The sequence below is a fragment of the Homo sapiens genome, chromosome 7 (assembly GCF_000001405.40).
Source record: "Homo sapiens chromosome 7, GRCh38.p14 Primary Assembly".
NCBI classification, from domain to species: Eukaryota; Metazoa; Chordata; class Mammalia; order Primates; family Hominidae; genus Homo; species Homo sapiens.
Window position 1 is genome coordinate 155,381,049 of NC_000007.14, and position 21,375 is coordinate 155,402,423.

At 54.6% G+C, this 21,375-nt stretch overlaps 1 long non-coding RNA gene across 1 annotated transcript, besides 2 other annotated features; it reads left to right on the forward strand.

Moving 5' to 3' along the window:
• Positions 274-1,085: an enhancer, noted in NCBI's record as "H3K27ac-H3K4me1 hESC enhancer chr7:155174017-155174828 (GRCh37/hg19 assembly coordinates)". NCBI's record gives its function as "activates a minimal SCP1, AML or CMV promoter by ChIP-STARR-seq in naive H9 embryonic stem cells {active_cell/tissue: H9 hESC(naive)}" and the evidence as "EXISTENCE:reporter gene assay evidence [ECO:0000049][PMID:30033119]".
• LINC03010 (long intergenic non-protein coding RNA 3010) lies at positions 1,028-20,734 on the forward strand. Its single transcript, NR_147174.1, has 3 exons — positions 1,028-1,267; positions 13,998-14,159; positions 19,841-20,734. It is a non-coding gene; the product is annotated as a long intergenic non-protein coding RNA 3010 (long non-coding RNA).
• Positions 1,086-1,897: an enhancer, noted in NCBI's record as "H3K27ac-H3K4me1 hESC enhancer chr7:155174829-155175640 (GRCh37/hg19 assembly coordinates)". NCBI's record gives its function as "activates a minimal SCP1, AML or CMV promoter by ChIP-STARR-seq in naive H9 embryonic stem cells {active_cell/tissue: H9 hESC(naive)}" and the evidence as "EXISTENCE:reporter gene assay evidence [ECO:0000049][PMID:30033119]".
• Positions 20,735-21,375: the final 641 nt, after the last annotated feature.

Below are 21,375 nucleotides of genomic sequence, written 5' to 3' on the forward strand. Positions count from 1 at the left end.
GTCCTTTTTGGCAAATTCTTATCTTGTGGGGCAGTGCAGACAATGGGAGCTTGTGCTAAACGGCTGCTGTCACTCTGCTGACATTCCAGGAAGCTTCCACGCAGCTACTTGGGCATCTTTTCACACCTTCACCTTCCAAACCGCAGTCCCTGGTGATCCTGACTTTTGCAGCCTGGCTCTGGGTCCACACGGGGCTGGAGAAGGGGATTCGGTCTGAATGGGTTCGTGGAGGGTGGGGCAGGGGGCTGAGCTGAGGAACGCGCTGGCGAGGGAGTCAGATACTGTTACTTCGTATTTTAGGAATGTATTTCTCCTGCACACCCCTCCCTCCCCTGCCCACCCCCCTCTCCCAGTATCATTGCTCTTTGAAATGTCATGAACTTGGCGCTTTCAGACCAAACCGCCGGGCTCAGGCCCGAGACAATGGGATTGTCAGAGGGCCAGCGCGGAGCTTTTTCTGCGTGTTCACGGAGCGTTAAGCCTTTATCCCACAGAACGGCTCTGTCTGACCGGGTCAGACAAAAGCCAACTTGCATCTTCCGCTCCGAGGGGATCTGGGCAGAGCCCGGGTACAGCCCTGCGCGGCCCCAGGGAGAGGGGGGAGAGGGCGCGTGTCCCCAGCCCTGCCAAGTGGCGTGGGGAGCGCGAGGCCCTCCTCGGTCAGAGCCACCAACTCTGGTCTCCGTGGACATCCCCCTTCCCCCGCCCGCTCCCGAGGCTCTAGGGCGGCCTCCTGGCCGCTGCCTTCTCGCACCCAGGGTCTTCGGCCTGGGCTCCACACCTCAGGCCCCTCAAGTAATCGGCCTCTTGGTGGCCGGGCACTGCCTTTCCGGCTGCTCTCTGCACCCGTCTGCCCCTCCGGCCTCCCCTGGCGGCTACAGGCGTCCGGGGCCCTCGCTCCCCAGCTCCAGGCGTCCCGGGAGCCAGGCGCGCAGCGGGGCGAGTTCTCGTGTCCGTGTGAGCGCGGGCGTGTGTATGCGTGCGCGTGCACGAGCGTGAGTGTGCGTGAGCGTGAGTTTGAGTGTGCATGCGGGTGTGAATGTGTACATGTACACGAATGTGAGTGTGAGTGTGCATGAGCGTGAGCGTGCGTGTGCGTGCGAGTGTGCACGAGCGTGACTGTGAGTGTGCGTGCGTGGAAGCGCGGCGGGGAGCCTGGCTGAAGGCCTGCTGCCTGCATGGCTGTCAGAGAAAAACAGAAGTGGGAGCCTGCTGCGGGCTCCGAGAGGACTTGATGGGAGCCCTGGCGCGCGCTGGGCACCGCGCGGTGAGTGTCGGGGGTGGGGGCCGCGGGTCTCCAGCAGCCCCTGCCCTGTGCGGACCGCCGCCCCGAGGGTCCCTGCTTGCGGGTCCGGGGCTGGGCGTGCCTGGCTCCCCCTTGCCCCCTGCTCCACCGGCAGGATTCAAGGGACGAGAGCTCTGGGCTGCGGAGAGTTGCCCTGGCTGGCCCCGTCCTGCAGCAAAGGGCGGGCGGCGCGAGTGGAGTGTGCGGGGCAGGCTGGGCGGCAGAGGGAGCCCAGGGGAGCCCATGGCATGGCACCGCCAGTGTGGGCTTATGAGGAGGTGCAGGCCGGGACCTCAGGCTGTGGGCAGGACCGCAGGCAGCGGCTGGCAGGCTCCAGGCAGGCTCTGGAGGACCCGGGATTTAGGTATTTATGCAGTGAGAAGGCAGGGGTTTGGGTGTTCTTTCTCCCCTCTTCCTCCTTGGAATTCAATTTCTTCGAAGGGCAGGGGGCAGGCCGGGAGGGAGGGACAGAGAAAGAGGCCGCGAGCCACAAATGCCGCCCCCCATCTGTTCAGTAGGGCTCACTTCCTGAGGCAGGGGTCCCTAGCACAGGGTCTGGGGAAGGCAAGGTGGGGGGTATAGGCTACCCAGATAAGGAGGGACTTGCTAGGTAGTGGCCCTGGGTCTTGAGGGGCTGGTTCCATCCCGATTGGTCCCCTGGTGCCTGGAGGGCTGTGGAGGGTCCCAGGCCTAGAGTTGGGGGCTGAGTGGGAGGACGGGCCTCACAACCTGGGATTTCTTTCCAGCTTCTGGGTCTGGATCTGGGCCTCCAGTCCCCAGCTGTGAAGCAGGAAGGGAGGGAGGGAGCCTTTCTGAGACCCTCCAGCCTCTACCCTGCAGGAAGAGGTGGATGTAACCTTGAGCATAACCTTGAGCAAGTCTTCCCAGCTTTTTAGGCCTCCACTTCCTCACCTGTAAAAGGAGCTGATGGGGGTAGACCATGTCGAATGTTACTTCTGGCTGAAACATTTTTTGTTGTGTTTTGTTTTAATTTGTGCAGAGTTGGACCTACTCTCTCATGGTGCAAATTTATTTCATTTCAGTTTCCGAGGCCAGGCATAGAATCCCTGTATATTCCCAGGGACAGTGACGCCTTATGCAGAGGATGGGCAACATAGAAAATAACCCTACCTGGGGGCACAGACAACTTATTCTTTAAAATGACCAAATGAAGCTAAATTGAAACAAAATTTTTTTTAAGTGAAATGAAACCAGTGATGCTGAGACTGAGTTGGCAGGCTGGGGAGGAAGACCTGGAAGCGTGTGTGGGCTCTCTGGGGAGTGCTCCTGGCTGGGTGCGGTCTCGGGTGGCCAGGCTGGGCAGAGGCGTTTCAGGATTTGATGGGAATCTTTGGCCTTGAGCTGTCTCCCCTACCTGCAAAGGCCAAGGCCTTCCCTCCACTGGCTGAAGTTGGTTGGGCTCTGCCCATCCATCCGAGCCTGCAAATTACTCACGGGGGGCTGCTAGTGCTGCCTGTGCAGGCTGGGGCCAGATGGGAACACTTTGTGGGGGCTGGCCAGCCTGGGACAGCAAGCAGCTGCTAGATTATTCCAACCCCTTTCTGTGTTCTTCACACCAGCAGGGGCTGGGGAGGCCGAGAGCCACAGCACAGCTTCAGAGAGGCCCCTTGGAGGTGTTCACAAACCCCCTGCTTCCCAGGAGGGGCACCCAGGTGTAGTTCCAGCCTAGCCTCTTTTCCCACGCCCGCCTTCTCTGGGGGGTGTCTCTGGGGGGTGTCTGGTCTGCGGAGCAGGGTCCAGACTTGCTTGTCTCCACGCTTCTCAACGCCTCCCCTCCACTGCCTCCTGCCTGGCTTCTCAGCAGCGGTGGGTGCTGGAGGTGGACTGGGTCATCTCCCCAGCCTCCCCAGCCTCCCCAGTCCTGCTCACCTGTTGGGGAATCACTGCCTGATTGTCACTTTACCCCTCTGCATCAGCTTCCCGGCATTGCCTTAGCGAAGTGCCACAAACCGGGGGGCCTACACAACAGGAATGTGTTCCCCCACAGGACCGGAGTCCAAAGTCCAGGCGTGGGCAGGGCCCTTCCCGCCCTGTTGGCCTCTGCTGTCTCCAGGAACGCTTGCTCCCTGGGCTCAGAGGTGCAGCATCCCAAAGCCACCTCTGCCTTCGCCATGTGGCTCTCACATGGTGCGCGTCTGCCCTTCCCATCCCGGCTCCTGAAGGAGAGCACTTGGAGAAAAGTGGGGATGCTCTATTGCTGCTCTCCCCACTGCTTGGTGTACCCCTGACGCCCTCCTGGGCCCTCACACCCTGGAGCACCCTGTCCCTGCACCCGCCCTGAACCAGAATCCAGGTCCAGCCAGGGCTGCAGCACAGCAGCACCAACGACGGGCGCATGGGGACAATAGCTGGAGGAGATTTGGGGCTCAGAAGAGAGGGGCTCCGGGGAACCCTCAATTGCTCATTTTGGCAGCATCTCCACTGGGTCTACATGCCAGGCAGCACACAGCCAGGACTTCAGGTTGTGTCCCCTGACTCGGAGTGGAGAAGGGGCAGGTGCTGGACCTGCAAACCTCAGACCCCACGCCTGGCTCCTGCTCTGTCTACGGTGTTTGGGAATTCACTTGGCCTCCAGGAATCGGCTTTCTCCTCTGTGAGATGGGAAGGCCATTCGGTATCCTAAGTACCCAATGGGCTGAAGATCAAACAAGATACAGGGTACGTGAGTTCTAAGAGCAAGGCTGAGTGTCACTGTTGGGGGCGGGGGTCCTTGCTCCCAGAGCTCCCAAGATGGTGGCGGGTGGCTTCCAAGATGGCAGCAAGCCTCTTGCTCTCTGACCTGGGGTTCTTGGCTTCACGGATTCCAAGGAATGAACCCTTGGGCCATGTGGTGAGTGTCATAGCTCTATTAGAAGCCGTGGGTCACAGAAGAGAACCGCGGAACCCAGCGACTAGTGTTCAGCTCGATTAGGATGAACCCGGGCACTTAGCCGTGCAGGAACAATGGTGAGCCTTTAGCCCGATCGGGAGCGGCAATGGGCGCCTCGCTGGATCAGAAGCGCAGTGGACACCCTGCTGGATCCGGAGGGATGGAAGTCGGCGGCGGGTCTGCGACGGCGGCAAACAGCAGTGGTGGACGGCGAGTGAAAGCTCAGCTCCAGCCATAACAAACACGGACCAGAAGAGTGGGCAGTTGCAAGATTTAATAGAGTGAAAACAGAGCTCCCATACAAACGGAGGGGACCCAAAGAGGGTAGCCATTGCCGGCTCGAATGCCTGGGTTTATATCCGGATCACTGTCCCTCCCGCTGTGCTCTCAGGCAATAGATGATTGGCTATTTCTTTACCTCCTGCTTTTGCCTAATTAGCATTTTGGTGAGCTCTCTTTACTACCTGATTGGTCGGTTGTGAGCTAAGTTGCAAGCCCCGTGTTTAGCGGTGGATGCGGTCACCTTCCCAGCTAGGCTTAGGGATTCTTAGTCAGCCTGGGAAATCCAGCTAGTCCTGTCTCTCACCACCTGGGAGCTTTGGCTCTTTGGGTGGTTCTAAACAGCATCAAGGTTGAGACCAATGTTATCTTTGGGGTCTCCACCCCCTGAAAACTGCCCCTACTTGCTAGTTCCTGCCAGGAAGACCCAGGTGATCAGCTTCCCTCAAAGCCCAGGGCAGAAGCACTCTGGTGGCCCCAGGTGCCTAGAGACAGGCAGAAGGGAGACACCCATGAGTCACTCCTCCACTTCTTCCAGAGACCATGCCGTTTTTTTCTTGTTTGTTTTTTGAAAGTGTCAAAAAGCCATGAGCACAAAGGCTCCCCTCTGCGCTGTGACTCTGGGAATCTGGAATAGAAACAGAAGCTCTCATCCCCAGGGACACCTTTCCTGGCACTGCTCCCCAGCCTCCTCCCAGCTCCAGGCTGAGAAGGGCGTCCCTCCTCCGTGTCCCTGCAGCAGCCAGCACCGAGGTCTGCCTCCACCCTAGCCACAGTGTGCTGCCATGTTGTGTTTCTGGGCCTGTCCCCAATGTCAAATCCTAGAGGCTAGGCCTCTTGTCTCTGTATCTCCAGGACAACAGGGTGTTTCACAGGCCTGCAGGCAGCAGGTGCTTAACAAACGGGTGTGAATGCAACCCTGGTCACCTCTCTGTCCATGGGGATGAGGAAGCTCTCCCCTTTGCCTGGAAGTTGTATTCCAAAAAGACATGACATAGGGTAGCATTGAATCAAAGCATCCTTCCCACCCTCAACTCCATAGACAGGGACAAGAAGAGAAGTCTTGTTGCAATGAGGAAGGAAGAGATGTAGGTTAAAATCCAGACAAGTTACCACTAACCCAGAACATTTAGGATTCCAGCTGTCATGTGCGGGGATCCAGATGCTGCCATCAGAGGGGTGGTGCTGCAGACGGAAAGCAGCTAGAACAACTGGCTGCGAGCCCCTCCCTCTGCAGCCCTGGGAGATGACTTCGGAAAGCCATCTCAATCCCTCAATCCCAAACCGCAGAGTGATGCCTCAGGCTGTGGGTAATTTCCCAAGGCCACGATCTCAGATAGGACCCCTTCGCCTCCCAAAGAGTTTGCTGGGCTTTCCCCAGTCTTGGGCGGACTTGGATGAGTGATCTTCCCTCCCTGCTAGAACCTTTGTGCTTGCAGTTCACATGAACTTGAGCGTGGATCTAATCATAGGGATGCAGGCCCGCAGCTGTGCAGACACAGATGCTGCATGAATGCATGCCTGCAGAAATGACGGATGCCATAATTCAAACGCTGAGGCGGCAGGCACAGGGGCCGGGTGTGTGTGCACACTTCCTACGTGCAACGAACTCCTTCGGTCCTCAGGACACATCTGTGAGGGTGGCCTGAGATCACCCCCATTTTGCAGATGAGGAAACAGATGTGTGGAGGGCCTGGGACGCACCAGGCCAGTGTCTGCCGGAGCTTGGGCTGTGCTGTGGGGGTGAGGGGCAATCGTGGGCCAAAGCCAAGGCCTTGCTCCTGGGGAATCCACTTAGCTTGACTGCTCGGTGGCCACCTCCGCCCATCACCACCCAGGGGAATAAACACTGCAGGTCATGTGGGGCGGGGGCAGTCTGCACGCTGGGGGTAGATCCACGCAGATTCCGTGCCTCCCGCAGAGGGGCTGAGGGTAGCACTTGGGTGGCTGTGCCAGGAGGAGCCCAGCCCAGGGAGAGGGTGTGTGCAGCTGGAGTCCTGGCTGCCAAGATCTAGGCAGTGGGGGCTTGGGCAGAGCCAGGTCTCATCACGGCATCTCTCAGGCAGGCCTTGTCCTCTCATCTGCAGAATAGGGCTACTAAAACCTCCCGTATGGGGTTGTTGAGATGAACCAATTGGGGAAAATGGAAAGTACTTTGAAAAGTTTGAAGCTGTATACAATAGCCATCTGTTGTCCTCAAAGTGAGTGGTCCTTGGGGGCAGGCTTGCTACAAAGTAAACAACCTGGGGCAAAAGGTTTTAGTTGTTTAGACAAGAACACACTGCCTTTCATCAGTGTGGGAAAGAACTGGATCGGGAATTAGACCACGTGGGCTTCAGCCTGTCAAAAGGTGTTTTCAAGTAGCTTATTTTAAGGGCCCTTTTATAATAGCTCATTAGCTCAAAATGTTTGACATTTTATATCTGAAGATGGGGCGAACAGGTGCCTTCATCAGGTGGGAATTCTGGGGGTGCTGTTGTGGCTAAGGGTGGTCCCTTTGATTGTCATTCATGTTCTGTCTTTCCTTCAGTCCCCTTGTGTCTAAAAACAATGCATTCTTATTGGGACTGCAATTTTGGTCATAGAAAAGCCTTTTGGTCTCAGGTTCCTGGGGCCGTGTGGCCACTGGATGAAAAAGCATTAGGTGGAGTTTATCTAAACTATAAAATAGATTAAGATTAAAAAAAAAAAAGAATAGGCCAACCTTAGTCAAGGGGAGAATTAAGATAAAAAAAAGAAAGCATAGGCATCTCCAGGGTATGCCCACTCTATGGCCCTAGGAACAAAAAGCAGACACTCCTCCAATCCCATCAGTTTCCAGAAGAAGAAACTGAAGTCCTCAGTGGTCCAATGAGTTACCTGATAGCTGCTTACTCTCCCACTCTTACTGATTTCATCAATCCACAGGTTTGTACTAATGAGTCATACCTGCAAATTTTTCAGTCCAGTTAGGAAGACAAAGCCACTGACAAGAAGCACCAAGGGGAGGACAAGGGCTCAGTGTCACGGAGAGTGTGCCAGGTGGTAGGAGTTCCTGGAAGGGAGGGAAGCTCCGCAGAGGCTGAGCCTTTCCGAGGGCTCGGAGGAGGGCAGGGGTTGACCAGAGAAGGCCTCCTCTGCACCTGTGCCCCATCCTTCTAGTCTGGGCCTGCTGGGCTTTCCCTTGCAGGACTGGTGGCTTTCACAGTGAAGACTGTAGAAGGTGTGTGCACTCCCCGGGCCCCTGTGGTCGTCCCAGCTCAGTGACAGCATCCCTCCTGTGATCTCTGTCAGCCCCAGGAGCTGCAGCGTTGCCCCCCACCAGACGATTGGCTGCTGCCCTCAGTGGCTCCCGGAAGCCAAAGGCAGTCTGCAGCCGGCCTCAGTGAGCCTTCGGGGGTCCTCTAGTAACCGGGTTCCTGAGCTCTTCCTGTGTGCAGACTGTGCTGTGTTCATTGCTGCCCAGCAGCGGGGCAGGTGGGGCAGGTGGGCCAGGGTTGCTGTAGCTTCCTCCCTTCCCAGAGAAGGGGAAGAACAAAGCCTCAGGAAGGAAATGAGCTGCTCAAGGTCATGGGTGGCGGTGAGGCGAGCCCCTGGAACCTGAGGCCATGCCACGTCCTCTGGGGTCAGATGGGAGCGGGTAGGGAGGGGCAGGCAGCCCTGACCCAAACCTTGGAAAGTGTGTCTCTTGTGTGCTGTGAAGAAGCGTAGTTCCCCATTTTACAGTGGAGAGGACAGATCATTTGTCGGGGGGTCACCAGGTGGCAGGGCATGGAGCCAGAATTTAAATCCAGGTTTCCTGATGCCAAAGCTGGCCAATCCTCAACTTCTATGCTGAAGTCAACCTTCAGGCCAGGTTGGTGCTGCCCTGGCTAAGAGGCACTGGCCATGGAGCCTCTTCTCCTCCTAGACACAAGCCAGATCCTCCATACGTAGAGGGGCTCCCAGAGCACGACAGGCATGGGTGCCACATCCCAGCAAGGCAGCCCCAGGTGGACGCGCTGGGGTTGGGGGGGCGGGGCTTGCTTCCCAGGAACATGGACCAGGTACAAGCGTCCAAGCTGGGAGGATGCTTGGAGAGCAGCTGCCTAGTGGGAGAAGATCAGGAAAGATGCCCCTGAAAGGGATTCGGAGTCAGGGCCCATCTGTCCCCTGGAACCACACAGTATGCACCACCAACTCTGGAAAGATTCAGGTGAAATGCTCAATTTCTGCCTTCTTTAGAGGACTGGGCTGTATGAATGGTCATATATTAAGTGGGAGGTGGCAGTGACGGGCTGGCACAGATGAAGCTGTCACTGCTTACATCAGCTGCTGAAATTATGTGCTCTTTGAACTAAGCAAGGGAGAGCCAAACTCTCTCATTTATCTCTGTGAAGTCCTCCGGTCATGTTTATACCATGAAATAGGACGGGAAATCTGAGCAGAAGCACCTTGGCCTAAAGCTTAGGAATCCGCTTGTTGAGTGCCCATGGCCATCAGCACTTCCCGGCTTCATGGGAGCCACAGCCAGAGATTCAGAGATGCGTGGACAGAGGCACCAACATGCTTCTCACTCAAACCACAGCTCAACTCACTGCATTATGTGCCAAGGGCAAGGAGGGTTCTCATCAATGTTGGTGACCAAAGACATTCACATCCAAACAAATTCAACATTATTTCTTCGTTTTTTCTTTCTTTTTTATTTTTTAGATGGAGTCTCGCTCTTGTTGCCCGGGCTGGAGTGCAGTGGTGTGATCTGGGCTCATTGCAACCTCCGCCTCCCAGGTTCAAGCGATTCTTCCGTCTCAGCCTCCCTAGTAGCTGGGATTACAGGAGCGCACCAGCATGCCCGGCTAATTTTTGTATTTTTAATAGAGATGGGGTTTTGCCATGTTGGTCAGTCTGGTCTCCAACTCCTGACCTCACATGATCCACCCACCTCAGCCTCCCAAAGTGCTGGGATTATAGGTGTGAACCACTGTGCCTGGCCAACATTATTTCTTGAGAACAGTGTGTCTTCATAAATTGCGTATGTTTGAGTGGGAAAAAATCATTAAGTAAAAAAATTCACAGTATAGTATTTCTTGGTAAATACCAGAAAAAGGCACTTTGGGAGGCTGAGGCAGGTGGATCTCTTGAGTCTAGAAGTTTGAGACCAGCACAGACAACATAGCAAAACCCCGTCTCTCCAAAAAATACAAAAATTTGTGGTGTGGTGTGGTGGCGTGTGCCTGTAGTCACAACTACAAGGGAGGCTGAGGTGGGGGGATCACCTGAGCCTGGCAGGTCAAGGGTGCAGCGAGCCCTGATCACACCACTGCACTCCAGCTTGGGTAACAGAACAAGATCCTGTCCCAAAACAACAACAACAAAAAAAAAAAAAAAAGAAGAAAAGCATAATGCATTTATCTCCCAATTTCATTAAAATATGAGCGTGACACCCTGTGTACAAGGGTTGTATACTAACCTAATGCTGGCGTGGCTGAGAGTTCACAGTTCACGTAACTGAGCTCAAAATCCTACCGTCTTGAAAGGGTCCGTGCCTGCTGGAGTCTAAGATGTCGGAGAGCTGGTTTCAATATGCACAGGCTGGGAGGCAGGATTAATAATGCATCCTCCTTCACAACCACAGGTTCTACAGCTGTGGATAATATTGCAGAGAAAGCGTAGCCAGTGCAGTCCCTGAAGCCAACATGTGAACGGCCTGGAGTCAAACGTTTAAGGAGCCTAAGCTCGAAATGGCGATGAGTTCAGAAAATGTGCAGTCATTCAATACCCAAATGCTTCTTTCCTTTTCTATGTTCGTATTAGACCTCGTGATAAATTGAGGGAGTTAAAGCAGTCCATTTATTTTAGGTGGGCCCAGCCCAGTTATGAACATGTTGAGACCTAGGAGGCCAAGAGGACCCACCTAAAACCCTCCCCCATTAAGGGCTGATGTGGTACCCCTGCAAACCCACTCCCTCGGGGCAGGAGATGCCTTCTCTGCAGAGTCCTGTTTCTGAAATCTGTGCAGTGTGTCCAGGTGAGTGAAGATCAGGACACCGTGAGGGAGAGCTGGGGGTACCCAGAGCTCTGCACAGGGGTGGGGAGGATGGCCAGAGCGGTCCCAGGTTGGAGATACGTGAGGAGAGCCGTGAGCCTCCTTGCTGCCCAGGGCCCCGTGTCCAGCCCACCTGCAGGGAACAGACCTCAGCCTCGCTTCCCCCTGTGGGGCCCATGTCCATGAGGGTTTGACCCTATAGACAGAATACTCTCAGATTGCAGCTTTCAAAAGTCAGCGCACTTTCTAAAGGGCTCCCCAAATGGGAAATTAGAGTACTGTGTAATTCTGTAAGGTTTCTGGAATTTCCATCCTAAGCATTGGAAAAAAGGGTAAAAATCCAAAAAGTCAAAAGAAAAGAGCCATTTACCATTGCTCAGAAGAAACAGTATAAAATATGTGCATTTGTTTTTCATGGAAAGTATGAAAAACCAGTTATGTGTTGCTTTAGGAATTGGGCTGGGCTTTGAAAGATGGAAAAGACAATTTAAAATTCAATTTTAAATTAGTGATGCTTTCTCTGGAATCTCCATTTTGTACCAATAGCCCTAGCAGCACGAGATCAAATTTTCCTCAGATATCAACCAAATGGCTTTCCTCGGAAGCTCAGGGGCGACCCACAGAGCGAGGGAGGGCCTTCTCCTGCCACCTCACCAGCGCAGTCAGAACTGATGTTTCTATCAGATGCCAGGCGTTTTGCTGCTGTCTTTGGTGACAACGATGGAAATGCCATTTTGCACAGACCGGGTTTGAAAGACCTTTTCCAGACTTGCTTTGGGAAAAGCACGGTTTTGCACTGAGATGGGTGATCTTTAGATGATACCTGGAAGGAATCCCTGGGGATTCTTTGCGGTGTGGCTCTGCCTGCGGATAGATGTCCCAGGAGCCATTGAAAGGTGGCCGGCCATTTCTCATTTCCCCCCATGATGGACTTTGCCCGGCGTTCCATAACGGCGCAGGCTTACCCACCGGGCCAACTTCAACCTTTCTACCCAAAGCACCAACACTGAGCCTGTGTCTGGTCTTTGTGTGAAACACTTTCTTCCTAAGTAATCCTAGGGAGGAGGAGAACCCGGGACCAGGAGAGAGGTGCTGAGAAGCAGGCCCGGCTTCCCACCTGCCTGCAGGGCCTCTGCATGCTGGGGACTCGGGTGACTGGGTACGCAGGTGCCTCCCGCCATCCTTGCTTGGCGGTGCTCACTAGGCAGGTTTCTTTCTGAAGGTGTCTTCTGGGAACAATAGCGTGGGGTTTTTTCTTCACATGGCTGGGAATGGCATTGTCTGGAAGAGGAGGACTAGGGCAGGTTCCAGGGGCAGGCGTTACCCTGAGCAAACACTATTTTCTGCTGTGAGTATTTTGGCTCCAGTGAATCAGTGTGTGAATGCTCAGCAGTCCCACATCAGAAAGCCAGCAGCTGCAGAGCACTCATCCACAGGCGCGGACAAAGAGGCTGCGATCTCATCCACTTTGCAGAGGACGGTGAAATGGTGACTTACCCCAACCTGCATCTCTTCCTGTTCTCCAGGCCCATTGTTCCTCCAGCCACGTTTCTGAATTTACAATATTTAATTGCAGCTTCACGAAAAAATAATCCCTGCTTAAGGATGTTCTAACAATGGCATGCCAGGGAGCCGGCTCATAATCACACAAGGTAGTGAGTGGCCTTGTGTGACTGCTGAGCAGAGGGCCTGGGCAACCTCTGAGGGTTCCTCCTGCCCCAGGGACCAGCAGGACAGATAAAAACCCTCTCGGAAGGGATTTGCACTCACAAATGTGAAATCATGTGGGTTAGCCCTGGGGACAGCTGCTGCCACCCTCGGCTTCATCCAGAGTTCTGTGACTTTCAGCCACCATGGACCAGCCAGGCATATCAGAACTTAGTAGTCACTCACCACATGAGGTCTGCAGTGAGTCACCTGGGCTCATCATCAAATACAGGACAAGAGGAGGAAACAGACCTGCCACCTAACCCTTCCAATGTGTCACCCCTCTACCCCATCCCTGCCATGTGAAGGGAAAAGAGTCAGTAATAATGTTGGGTGGGAGTGTTGGGCTGTGGTTGAGAGTTCTTATTTATTAATACTTCATTCTTAAACTTTCTTAGAAACAGGGAACTTACCCTATAAAGGGAACCAGCAATTTATATTTAATTAATTAATTAATTAATTAATTTGTTTTTTGAGACGGAGACTCACTCTTTCACCCAGGCTAGAGTGCAGTGGCGCGATCTCGGCTCACTACAACCTCTGCCTCCTAGGTTCAAGCAATTCTCCTGCCTCAGCTTCCCAAGTAGCTGGGACTATAGGTGCGTGCCACCATGCCCCGCTATTTTTTTGTATTTTTAGTAGAGACGGGGTTTCACCATGTTAACCAGGATGGTCTTAATCTCCTGACCCAGTGATCTGCCCACCTCGGCCTCCCAAAGTGCTGGGATTACAGGCGTGAGCCACTGCGCCAGGCCAAATTTCATTTTTTTTAGAGACTGGGTCTTACTCTGTCACCCAGGCTTGAGTACAGTGGTGCAATGATAGCTCACTGTAGCCTCAACATCCTGGGCTCAAGCAATCCTCCTGTCTCAGCTAGGACTATGGGCATGCATCATCATGCCTGGTTATTTTTAAAAAAAGTTTTTATAGTGATAGAGTCTCACTATGTTGCCCAGGCTGGTCTCAAACTCCTGGGCTCAAATGACCCTCCTGCCTCGGCCTCCCAAAGTGCTGGGATTACAGACATGAGCCATTGCACCCGGCCTGGAACCAGCACTTTCTAAGAGAGTCAAGTTCAGGAGGAGTTGGCCTGCTGGAGATGAATGTGCATGGGCTTTGGAGTCAGCAAAGCCAAGCTGGAATCCTGCCGCTGCACAGCAGTGAGATGTTAGCAACGGATTTAATTTTCCTGAGCTTCCATTTCTTTTATCTGTAAAATATGGTTAAACATGAAGTGATGTTGTATTAAATGAGATCCTGGGTCTGAAGCCTTAACAAAATGGCGACACACTAACACACTCGGTGCCACCATGCCGCCACCATGACCCCATGGCATCACTTTTGTACGGAGCTTCAGTGCTGGGCTCCCACTCACAGAGCAGTTTGTGGAGCACCTGCTCCATGGTGGTGGAAGCAGGGAGACATGGCACTCATGGTTTTGCCATAGAGAAGCTTACAGGTCCCATAGCCGTGAAGGCAAGGAGGCACGAGGTTGTCTGGCCAATGCTGGCTCCAGGTGTGACCCGAGTGTGGTGCTGAGGAATGGGACAGCTCCATGGAGGAGCTGCCTCTCAGGGGGTGGTCAACAGGGAGTTTGGGCCTGGGGGTACCAGTAAGGCAGGAAAGGACATTTTGGCAAACTTCAAAGCACAGGGCCATGGCAAGACCAGCCATGTTCCTGGAGCTTCTGGGGGTCCGAGGTGTGCAGGTGCATGCGAGATGAGGCTCAGGGCAGCATGTGAGGCTTCTATCCTGTAGGGAAGGGGAACCGGGGCTGGGGGTTGGGGGGCGGGTTGTGATCAGAGAATGACACTGCCATCTTTTTGTTTCAGGAGAACAATATTGCCAAGAATATCTGGATGGATGGAGGTGGCCGGCAAATCGTCAGAAGCAACTCAGACAGTCCAGAGGAGGATGGTGCAGAGCCAGAGGAGGCACAGGGAGGCGGCAGGCAGATCTGAGAGGCATCACCAAGGCAGCGCTAAGGAAGGAGGGTAGGGACAGTGACTGCCTCGGGCTGCTGCAGCTCAGGAGGCCGAATGATGCCCTTCACCAAGCAACACACGATTATAGGTTTAATTGTTTTCAAAAGACTTCGCCCTGCTCTGTAGGATTGGCGGCTCGATTGGCATTCTGCCTGCTTCACAGATGTGCCAGCCGAGGCTTGGACAAATGCAGTAATTTGCCTGTGATCTTGTAGCTAGCAAGGGCTGAAACCAGAACTAGGGCCTCTGCTCCAAACTGAGCGCTGTTTTGACTGTTCCACAGCTACTTCCCAGGACCCCACAGAACAGCCAATGCAGGGAACTGTGCCCCCATCCGCTTCCTTTGGGACTGCCTTCCTCTGTCCCCTTGGTGCTCAGGGCCCTACGTTTTGCCTCTGTTGGGGCCGGCTGCTGACTGGCACTGCCTGGTGCCCTCCTGGCTCCTCCCACAGTTTCCCAGACCCCCGAGGTCCCAGCACTCACACTGCGGGGCCGACAAACAGCAGGTGTCCTTGCGTCTGACTAAAATGACATCCACTTAGTGTGGTGACATTGGTTATTCTGGGTTGCCCAGATGCTTAACTCGTTGTTGAATGTGAGAACTGGGGAGAACTAATTTCTTCTTAATTCATGTCCTCTTTGTTAGTGGAACAATTTCATTTCAAAATGAAAACACACTTGGGAGAAATTTTTAAAAAGGGATTCTAGTAGTGAAGAGATGGAGAACAGCTGTTCAGGAATCTTTATTCCTTTCCACTCTGCCCCAGCTCCCTGGATCCTACCCCAGCACCCCAGGCCATTTAATCACTCTGTTCCCTGCCCTTTCTGAGCTCTTCCTTCCTTAATTGCTCATAACTAGCATCTCAACACTTCATGATTGTCTCCCAGATACGGGTTGGGGTTGTCATCCAGTGGGAACCTGGGTTTTCTAGCTGGTGAAGACACTCCTGCAGGCATGAACCTTGTTTTGGTTTGGTTGTTACTCTCTGTTTCCGCATACCCTCCACAGTGCTTGAGACATAATAGTAGCTCAACAGAGAGGGTGCCGTGGCTCACACCTGTAATCCCAGTACCTTGGGAGGCCAAGGTGGGCAGATCGCTTGAGTGCAAGAGTTCAAGATCAGACTGGACAACATATTGAAACCTCATGTCTACCACAAAAAAAAAAAAAAATTAGCTGGGTGTGGTGGCACACACCTGCAGTCCCAGCTACTCGGGAGGCTGAGACAAGAGGATCGCTTGAGCCCAGGAGGTTGAGGCTGCAGTGAACCATGATGGCGCCGCTGGACTCCAACCTGAGCAGCAGAGCGCAGCAGAGCAAGACCCTGTCTCACACACACACAAAAAGTAGCTCAATAAATGCATGACTGGATCTCACCTGAGGAGGGAAGAGTGAAGCGAAGGGCGATGAATTGGAATCACCCTGGCGGCCTATTTAAACCAGACAACCTCAATCTGTACTTAAACACATTGGCACCCACAGGGGGAGCTGACTGAAGGCTGCAACGTGAGTAGCAATACAGCGGTGACGGCCACCGATTATGAAATAGGACACAGGGATACAGCGGAAACACTCCCCGTGGATAGGGCAGGTGGTGAGAGGCTCTTCTCAGAGTCACATTCTGCTGGAGCTGGCTCCTGGCTCACACGAGCCGGCCGTGCACATCTCTGCAGCGCCTGGTTCAGACTCTTCTCTTCTGAGGCTGGAAGTTGGCCTTGGTGGGGGCAGCTCGTGGGGTGCCCCAGAGCCGGTTAGTGACCGTGGCCCCGCACAGCCTGCTTGGTCTCCTGCTGTGTTATCAGGGAATGGGTTCTTGAGCAGCAATTGTGCCCCCGTGGCAAAGGGAAGCGAACACAGACTTAGAGGGTTTGCTTTTTAAACACTTGAGGTCTCACAAGGCCTTAGTCCAGATGTAAGCAGAAAACCTGGGTCTCCATGGCCTCAGACCATCCAGCTCCCAAGCCCAAACCTCACCTTTAACATGGCACAGAATGTTACAAAACTCTTCCCAAGATATCAGTAATAATAGGTCATGTTGATGTGGCTCTTAAGATGGGCCAAGCTCTAGTGCAAAGAACTTTCTATGCATTAATGATTTAATCCTTTCAAAAACCCTATTGGGTGGGTAACAGTGTTTCCCTCCAAGTTGAGGAAACCGAGTGTTACAAGCTGAATTGTGTGTCCCTAAATGCTATGTGGAAGTCCTCACCCCAGAACCTCAGGGCGTGGCCTTATTCAGAAGCAGCGTCCTTGCTGATGGAATGAGTTAGGCTGAGGTCAGGCTGGAGTGGGCAGGGGCTACTCCAACATGACTGTGTCTTTCTGTGTCCGAATTGGTGGGTTATTGGTCTCACTGACTTCAAGAATGAAGCCGCGGACCCTCGCGGTGAGTGTTACAGTTCTTAAAGGCGGCGTGTCCGGAGTTTGTTCCTTCTGGTGGGTTTGTGGTCTCGCTGGCTCAGGAGTGAAGCTGCAGACCTTCGCGTGAGTGTTACAGCTCTTAAGGCAGAGCGTCTGGAGTTGTTCGTTCCTCCCGGTGGGCTCGTGGTCTCGCTGGCTTCAGGAGTGAAGCTGCAGACCTTCGTGGTGAGTGTTACAGCTCATAAAGGCAGTGTGGACCCAAAGAGTGAGCAGCAGCAAGATTTATTGCAAAGAGAGAAAGAACAAAGTTTCCACAGCCTGGAAGGGGACTGGAGCGGGTGGCAACTGCTGGCTCGGGCAGCCTGCCTTTATTCTCTTATCTGGCCCCACCCACATACTGCTGATTGGTAGAGCCGAGTGGTCTGTTTTGACAGGGCGCTGATTGGTGCGTTTACAATCCCTGAGATAGACACAAAGGTTCTCCGAGTTTCCACCAGACTCAGGAGCCCAGCTGGCTTCACCCAGTGGATCTCGCACTGGGGCTGCAGGTGGAGCTGCCTACCAGTCCCGCGCTGTGCGCCTGCACTCCTCAGCCCTTGGGTGGTCGATGGGACTGGGCGCCATGGAGCAGGGGGCAGTGTTCGTTGGGGAGGCTCGGGCTGCACAGGAGCCCACGGAGGCGGGGGGCGGGGGGCGGGGGGGGCGGGGAGGCAGGGGACGGGGGGTGCGGGGAGAGGTTCAGGCATGGCAGGCTGCAGGTCCCAAGCCCTGCCCTGCGGGAAGGCCGCTAAGGCTCGGCGAGAAATTGAGCACAGCAGCTGCTGGCCCAGGTGCTAAGCCCCTCACTGCCTGGGGCCGGTGGGGCTGGCCAGCCACTCCAAGTGCGGAGTCCGCCGAGCCCACGCCCACCCGGAAGTCACGCTGGCCCGCAAGCACCACGCGCAGCCCTGGTTCCCGCCCGCGCCTCTCCCTCCACACCTCCCGGCAAGCTGAGGGGGCCGGCTCCGGCCTTGGCCAGCCCAGGAAGGGGCTCCCACAGTGCAGCGGCGAGCTGAAGGGCTCCTCAAGTGCCGCCAAAGTGGGAGCCCAGGCAGAGGAGGCGCCGAGAGCGAGCGAGGGCTGTGAGGACTGCCAGCACTCTGTCACCTCTCACTTCTAAGACCAGAGGAGACACAGAGACACCTGGGGGAGACCAAGTGGAGACGGAGGCGGAGACGGGAGCAATTTATCCATAAGCCACGTGACGCCAAGAGTTACCAGTGGCACCAGCAGCTAAGAGAGGGCCTGGGACAGACCCTCCCTCGAAATCTCCAGAAGCAGCCAGGCCTGCTGACCCCTGGGTCTCTGCCGTCCAGCCTGCAGAGCTGTGGGAGGATACATTTCCACTGTTTTCAGCCCCCGGGTCTGTGGCACTTTGTGAAGGCTGCCCCCACAGAAGAAGACACTGAGTCTTCGAGAAGTTAGGAAGCCCTGAACCGTCCAAAGACACCAGGAGGGAAAAGGGTGGGAGGCGAGGGGCCAGCCCTCCATGTTCACGTGGCAAGCCGGAGCCAGGCTGGAGCTGAGGCCTCCACTCACCACCCAGGGTGCGCTCCGCTCACTGCCGCCCCCTGCAGGCTACCCCTGCCACCGAATCCCCCCACGTCATGGACTGCAGCCTCGCCAGCTGCCAGCCACACCCTTGCCACGTTCCTCCTCCTGTTCTCCAGCCCTGCCTCTGCTCCTGCTTCCCCTGCTGCGTGGAGACCCAGCACATCTCTTGAGCTGTGTGGCTTCTCTAAGGTGGCATCCGAGAGTTCCGCAGTTTTCCGAGAAGAGATAAACAGAACTTTTTCTCCATGACCAAGATGTCTTTCTCTCCACAACTCTGGTGTTCAATTCTTTTTATGCCAGGGAAACAGTCTCAATTTTACACTTCTACTTAACACCTGACAATTTTCCTGTAACTATTAGTGTTCAGTAGTAGTAACTATTAGGGTTCAGTAGTTGTAACTACTACTACGCAAGGAGGCGTTCTGGCGACCAGAAAAGGCTGAGGAAGGACAGGTGACAGGTGGGGCCACAAACCTCAAGGCAGGAGTGCGGGAGGAAGCACAGCACCTGGGACCACTGGCAGACCCGTCCCCTGCCTCGGAGATGCCTGTCCCTCCCGCTGAGATCACCGCCCGCCTGCCCTAGCACTGACGCACTGACCACGTTGCTGTCCTCAGGGCAACCTGTCTCCCTTCCCCTCTGACTGGCATCCCCCTGCAGACCTGGCCTTTGTGTGCCTAGAGCCGCACACAGTGCCTGACTGTGATAGATGCCAGCCAGGCTTGATCACGGCCACAAGCTCACACTCCGGGGCAGTCAGCCTGGCTCCAGCCCCAGCTCTGGTGCTTCTAGATAGCTGGTGAACCTCTGTGCGCCTCCGTCTCCTCGCTTACAGAGGTAATAGTGCTTGCCTCATTTGGGTGTTATGAGGATGAGGGGAAAAGGACCAACCCTGTGCGATGCTGGGATGTGGCCAGCACCCTGGAGGCAGCCCTAGAAAACTCCCTCCCACCAGCAGCCTAGAGTCCACAGCATTCCCACGGTGCCCGGGGCCGGGCTCCCCCGTCCCATTGCCCTGCCATCCTGGGGCATCACCCTCACCTGGGTGACTGAGGGGCAACAGCCCCACATCCGTGCTGCAGGTGGAGGGAGTGGGAAATGAGAGCGGATGGCAAGCAGCCTCCTCCATGAGGACGAGTCAAGAGGAGAGGGCGTCTCTGCACACCCCCCTGCCACCCCAGCTGCAGCCCCGCTGACACTCGTTGGCCAGGTTCCATTGCTGAAAGGAGTTAGGGGAGTCTGGACACCATGGGACAGTTGGCAGACTCAGCCCCAGGGTGTAAAACACAAAGCAGCTGTCATCTCGGGGCCAAGGTTTGCTTTGCGAAAGAAGCAGAGATGAAGGCCACGTGGAAGCCTCTGTTCGCTTCGTGCACACGATTCTGCACCCACAAACAGCCACGGTGCTAGGGGTTTCCACATGGTGTCCCCTTGACGCTCACAGAACTCCGGGGAGGCTGTGAGGTCACCCCATTTTCTGGATGAACCTCACAGTGGGAGAGGGATTTGTCACGGTCACACAGTCCAAGCATGTAAGAGAAGAGGTGCCTTCAGGACTGGCACCCAGGCGTCACTCCTGTCCCCCACTCCCTCTGCAGAAGCCCCTCAAGCCCACCGTGTGCCTGTTGACTTTCGCCCTGTGCAGCCTGCTCCAGCTCCTGGTGCTGTGCTGCGTGTACCATGCGTGCCCCTGTGGCAACGAGTCACCGACTCATCTCGTTTCCTTCCCGTGCAGATGCTTCGGGTAGCAGCCCAGCGCTCTTCACTGGACTGAAGGCACCTCTTCTCTTTAGAGAGAGAACATTTTCAAAGGTTAAGCCTAAAAATCAGGACAGATTTTACTTTGTTATTGTTGTTTCTTGAGGCCTAATTTTTAAAAAGCCTGTGTGCTGGCTGCTGATGGCCTTGATGAGAAAGTGGCCGTCAATTAAACAGACAAGGGGGAACCGAGGAATCCAGGTCAGCACGATTTCCTGATCTGTGGCAGTGACTGTGACCTGACTGGACTTGAGCTGGAACTTCAAATAACACCATTAGGTCCTAATCATATCAGAGGTGATCTAACATGACTTCCCACACCATCCCCTTTCAAAGATGCAAGTCACATGGGCACGTCTGTAAAATGCTGAAGGCTGCACCGTGTGAGCTGCACAAATTCAAAGTTTTCTGACTTTGCCAGCCCAGTAACACTGCCAGGTGCCAGCTTGTGGCATTTCTGTCAGAAACCCAGCTGGCATGAAAGTGGGTTTTTCATCCAGCCTGGAGTAGCCCCCTGCATTCAGAAATTCTTTGCCTGACTACAGAAGTCTAAATCAGGACTCACTTTCCCCCGAGCTAGAGGAGGAGGAATGTGAAGCCTTGGAAAGAGTCGGCACCATTCTGGGAGTCAGATTAGTACACCCCAAGAAAGGGAGAGTGGCTGGGCCAGCTGCGACACAGTCCCCAACCGCTACCCGTTCCTCCACCGCCCACCAAGCCCAGAGCAGCCTCCCTCAGCCAGAAGACAGCTTGGAGGATGGAAGACTGTTCAACTTGTGGCTTAAGCACATTATTAAAACCAAAGAGGAAAATTCTTTGAAGAGATGGGGTGGAGCTGAATTTAAGAGAAATAATAAAAACCATGACCAGGTTTTTCTGTGTCTGTTTTTCCTCCCTCATTTCTCCAGCAGCCTGGGGAGCACTGATAGAATAATTCCCCGGTGATTTCATCATGGAACTTCCCTTTCATCAACCTTCCACTGATCTACGTTGCCTGTGGAATAAAGTCCAAATGCCTTTGCTTGATTCTCCCTCTTCTTCCTCACCAAGCAAACGCCTTTTTAAACTAATAACGGTGGCCACCTGTGTAGAAAGCAGAAGGAATGAGGCAGGTGTGGGACAGGAAATGAGGTTGCTAAGGTATCAGTCAGCCACTGCTGTGACAAGGCTGCATAACAAATGGCCCCAACATGGAAATGGCTTCCTGCAGCAAACGTGTGTTTTTCTTGCTTTGGGGTCTCTGGGCAATGAGCAGCCCTGCGTCAGGCTGTTGGTCAAGTCTGTTCCACATGTTTCTGATTCTGGGATCAGTGGGGTCTGGGAACACTCTCCTGAGTGGATGGCAGAGATGCCAGAGAGCAAACCAGGCCGTGGATCATACTTAGTGTCTCTGCTTAGATGGGGTATTGTCACTTCTGTTCATGTTCCATTGGCAGCAGTCACCTGGCCAAGGCCAAGTCCCAGGGCAGGAATGTGTACTCCGTCCACCACAGCGGGGACCCTGCAGAACCC